Raw genomic sequence first — 5394 nt, forward strand, 5'->3', positions numbered from 1 at the left:
TGGATGGCTGATAAATTCCTCAGTTAGCCTACTACTTATTGCTCAGCCCCAGCAGTAAAATGAAAGTAACAGCACTATGAGTCAGCTACACTTCTTGAAGCTATTTGAAACCCTCTGAGGAAAACAACAGAGTCAATAAATATCATCACATGATGCGTCATGTAGCTTCTCCTGCAGATGAAATTAGTTGTATGTAGCTAGACTCTTATCATAATTCTACTAGCATTGTGATGGATCTGGAAGGAAGGGCCTTCAGCCCCAGAATTTGCTGTTAGCAGACAGCATCTGTGGGCACCTTCAGGAAATGCCTTAGATGCAGAAAGCCACCTTGCCTAAGATTATGTCCTTTCCAGAAGACGCCCACATCCAGTGACTGACAGAGGAAGGGTTGGTTATAAAGGCCCAGCCACAGTGGCCTAACCTGGGACAACTCTGACAGGGCATTTAGATCCAGAGCTCCCACAGGGTCCACTGAGGCTGTGGACCTGCCTGATCATTCAACTCCTCCCTCTGCTCCTTCTTCACTTCTCCACAGGTGTTGATCCCAGAGACAATCCCTAATAAACACTTTTTACACTCGACTCCACCTCAGAGTCTACTTCCCAGAAAACCCAGCCTGCAATAAGAATCTATACAAACTATTGAAAATGAAAGTTATATTAAGGGGAAAGGTCTTCCATTTATCATGTATAAAATCTGGGAAGCCAGACTAAAACTAAGCTGAGAATTTGCCCCTGTAGTTTTTGTTTTCATGGCATTAATATTAGCAAGAATGACTGCTTATTACTATTTTAAAGGTACAAATCCATATAATTTATTTATCAGCTCATTTTTCTTCTATGGAAAATTCACCTGTGATAAAATTATTTGGATCCCCTTTTCCTCCATTACATGTGTGGTAGATTGCAAAGATGACTACAGTGTAATAACTCCCTGCATCTGTGCCCCTAGTAATGTGACCCTGCAACTCTTTCCATCAAGCGGTAGGCTGGCCCTGAATCTGGGCTGGCTTTGTGACTTGACCAATAGAATGTGGTGGAAATAATATTGTGCTAGTTCCAAGGTAAGACTTGTGGAGGTCTTGAACACTTCTGCTCTCTCTCTAGTGTCCCAGCCAGCCCCAGTGTGGAAAAGCCTGGGCTAGCCTGCTGGAAGGTGAGGAGACCACATGAAGAAACAACAAGTTGACCAAGAGGCCACCCTATGGGTCCCAGTCAACCCGGCAGACCCATAATTGAGCCTAGTCAAGACCAGAACTGCCCAGTTAGGCTCAGTCGAAATTGCTGATCTGCAAAATTGCTAGCTACATAAATAGTGGATGTTTTAAGCCACAAGTTTTAGGGTAGTTTATCTTGCAGCACAAACTATCTGATAGAGTAGCTAGTGGTTATTTCCAAGACTGATTCTGGAAGAATGAATATTTGAGCAAATTGGTTCACTTCCAAAAACTAAGAATTGATATTGTTTTCCACTCCCATCTTCCATTTTCCAATTTCCAAGGCAGGGATCTGAGTAGATATTGAGTAGATGGATATGGAGTAGATATTGATACTGAGTAGATGGGAAGAAATCCAGAAAAATTCCACATAGGTACAGTTAAAATTTCACTTTAAAAATGGCTCAAGAAAAGACTGTATAGTCTAAGAGGTGGACTTCCAGGCAAACATATAGAATGAGATGTGTGATCAAGTTGGGAGTTTGTGAACCATGATCTTGAAAGTCCCTGTATTGTCCACTGTTTAATGTTATGCTGTTTTATGGGCACAAAAGTGGGGAATTGCAGTTGACTTCCTTAGAGAACCCTTAGGAATCCAGCACTCTCTTCCTGCCTGCTATAAATTACAGCTAGTGAAGAAAGAAAGAATATGTCTATTTTTCCAGTAACAGAATAAATAATATTATGAATTAAAAAAATTATTTCAGGTAGAGCATGACTAGTTTTTCTTATACCTTGTGCTAAAAGATTGCTGGCACTGTTGCCATTTCCTAGAAAAAAAGTCACTCTGGTCTCTGGCCCAGGTCCTGACATAAACCTAGTTCCTTTTCTTCTGCTGTGATCAGTCCAGATAAATTTGCACAGAGCAGCTGTTTCTACCTGCTGCTTTCATGCTGACGAGGTATGCATTCCTCTGATCTAGTGCCTGTGGCGGTTTGATTAGTCATAATTAGACCTCAGAAATCAGACTCTTTTCATCTCAATCTCCAAAGCAAAATTTTCTATAAATTCAACATCAGTTTATGTAGGACCTTAAAGTTAAAACAACAACAACAACAAAAAACTCCAAAGAAATCTTTTGACTTCCTGATACCTTTTACTTCTCTAATCTAAATGCTTAGGAAGCATCAGGATTAATTAGGCTAGTTCCTGCTACTCAGCAGCCGGAAGAAGCCGAAAGAGGTGGAGTTTTGACCTGCCTCTGAACCTTCTACATGGGCAGCTGGCCCTGGGCAGGTGTACATAATTAACAGGTGTGAGCTGGCAGGGTACTCGGAAGGTCCTGTTAGCAGTTCCCATGCAATCTTCTGAAAGTAGGGTCTTGAGCTGTCAATGATTTTCTTATATTTGCATGAGTCAATGCACATGATCACACGTCATTTGCCATGCCAGAGTTGTCTCTCAGAGAGTTCACGATATGGACGGTGGTGGCCTAACATTCACCAGCATCTAGACTGCTACCAAGAACTGAAACATATCATTTCTCTTCTTAATAAACTCCCTTTAGGTATTTTCTAGTCCACCCGGCTCAAGCAAGTTCACACATCGACAAATATAGGGCTGTTGGTGGAGTGGGTAGGGGCTGGCTGGGGTGGAGGTACAGCATGGTAGCATACTCCCATGACATATTTGCACTCCCCTCGAACTTTGTGTAGAGATGAACATCTGATCAAAATGAATACAAAATCTATCTAATGATCCTGTAGAAACCACGCCTATTAATTAATCCACTGTTGACAATGTCAGGTGACACGTTATAACAACGCCATTGTGTTTCTGAGCTTTATTTGTTATATACCTTAAAATAAGACAGTTTCTACAATTATAACTTTAAACAGGTGTTCAATATTTTGAAGCTAATAAAGTATGGACAAGTGCTTATAAGGACCTTTTACATTTCTGGAGGTTTTTATAGTAAGTAAATAATTTTATGCAGCTTGTGCATTTATATAATTAAAAGTTTTTTTGATAGGTGCAGCAAACCACCATGGCATGTGTATACCTATGTAAGAAACCTGCACATTCTGCACATGTATCCCAGAACTTAAAGTATAATTTTTTAAAAAAGTTTTTAAGTTTTAAGAAGTGTAAAAAACAGTATTTAAGAAACATTAATGCAAGATAATAGATCTTTATGTGAAACAAAACTATACAACATGAAGAAAGAAACAAGAATTTTTAAAAATCTCAAGAGTAGATATAACACAATAAAAAACAATCTCTGGATGTGAATAATCAATACGCTATCATCAAACAGAGAAACTTAAGAGCTATATGGTATAAATAGGAGTACTTCAAAGGAAGACTTTGGGGACAAGAATCATGTATAATAATATTTTATTAGTAAGTTAAAATTTTCTAAAACAGTGGATATAATTCTGGGAAAAGCTAAAGTAAATGCATAAAATTCTCAGGGTTTCCAGGCACCTGTGTAAGGGTGTGCATGTTTTAGCAGCAACTACTGGCGTTTCCTCTTTCTCTTAGTAGCTGAGTCATTGGCCAGTCAGGAACCTCACTACGGAGGTTCTTAATTAACTGCAGCTGTGTTTAAATATTTTGCTCTCAAACAATAACAATAATAGAAGCAACAATTTAAAAATAGTATTCATACGCAAGCTTTATTGAGAGCTGACTATCTACTGGGCTCTGTTCCAACCACTTTATATGTAATACAGCATTGATCCTCACTAGAATGAAGAAGTGGGGACTATTATTGTCCTCATTTTACAAAGGATCTAAGATAGTTACTATTCTTGAGCTCAGATTAACTTTTACCACTTTTCAAATGTCAGAGTGGTGTATGGTAATAAGAAGCGTAGGCCAGTGCAGTGGCTCACGCCTGTAATCCCAGCACTTTGGGAGGCCAAGGCTGGCAGATCACTTGAAGTCAGGAGTTTGAGATCAGCCCAGCCAACAGGATGAAACCTCGTCTTACTAAAAATATAAAAATTAGCCCAGCTACCCAGGAGGTTGTGGTAGGAGAATTGTTTGAACCTGGGAAGTGGAGGTTGCAGTGAGCCAAGATTGCACTAATGCACTCCAGCCTGAGCAATAGTGTGAGAATCCATCTCAAAAAAAAAAAAAAAAAAAAGTGTAAAACTGTACCAAAGGCCTGGGGTGCCCAGGGACAGAGTTTTCTAGCTAGCTCAGGAAGCACACTGGGCTATGACGCATTACAGTCTTCTGCTTCCATTTCCAGTATTTCCAAAGGCAGCCTGTGGGCTGCCTTACTGCCCTGGACTCCTGGAAATAGAGCTAGAGTCACAAGGATTTATGGCCAATAGTGGGCATTACCTTTAATCCAAGCTACTTAGGGAAATAAATCCCTAAGTAGTACTGAACAATCCCATTAACTAGGCAAGGAAGTTCATTGGTTAAGAAAAAAAAATAAGGCATGCTTTAGAATCAGGTCTTCGTTCAAATCTTATATCTATTACTCATTAGATGAGATTATAGGCATCCAATCTTAACATCTTTTTTTCTCCCACACTGCAAAAAGGCAAACAGAATTAGGTTTTACCTGCAGCAGGAAGAATTCAAGCGAAAAATTAACAGACGCAGGTTTTCCTGAGTCAGCATTTCTAACACCTAGGAGGGTTTGCCAGAAAGGTTACAGAATTCTCTTTTCCATAAACCTTCAAAACCATGACAGAGCATCATTAAGAAGAGGGGTTTCACTGAGTGCAACCCTGGTGGTCTGTGAAGGACTTACAGATGGTCCCTTTGGTCTCTTGATACCAATATTAACCTATTATATTTGCCTAAAAGATAATTTTCACTTCATGTAATTACTGTCTTGTTTGCCTCTACTTACATTCCAAACTTTATTAAAATACATTAGAAAATGAAGATACCTTCATTTGAAATTATTGGCTACTTCTGTTTCAAGATAACAGAAAGCCCCCAATCAAACCTAAGATGTATGTGAAACTCTTTATTAGTGTGTGAAATGTATCAAAACCAGTCGATTACTTCCACGAATTAATGAATAATTAAGCAGAGAAACAGATGCAAAATGAGAAATGGTTACATTAAATGAAGAACTTCTTGTGCCTGAGAACAAAATTTGATCAGTTTAGGTCTAGTCTATTTTTTGTGGCAGCCTGAAAATGCAGAGAGACAGGTAAACAAATATAGAGAGTACAACAATGAATTGTAGGCACTGGTGATGAGAGAGC

General features: G+C 39.2%; 1 annotated feature.

Annotated features, from left to right (window-relative positions):
* Positions 205-284: an enhancer, noted in NCBI's record as "active region_22928". NCBI's record gives its function as "activates an Ori minimal core promoter by ATAC-STARR-seq in GM12878 lymphoblastoid cells {active_cell/tissue: GM12878}" and the evidence as "EXISTENCE:reporter gene assay evidence [ECO:0000049][PMID:35858748]".

Source organism: Homo sapiens, chromosome 5 (assembly GCF_000001405.40).
Source record: "Homo sapiens chromosome 5, GRCh38.p14 Primary Assembly".
NCBI classification, from domain to species: Eukaryota; Metazoa; Chordata; class Mammalia; order Primates; family Hominidae; genus Homo; species Homo sapiens.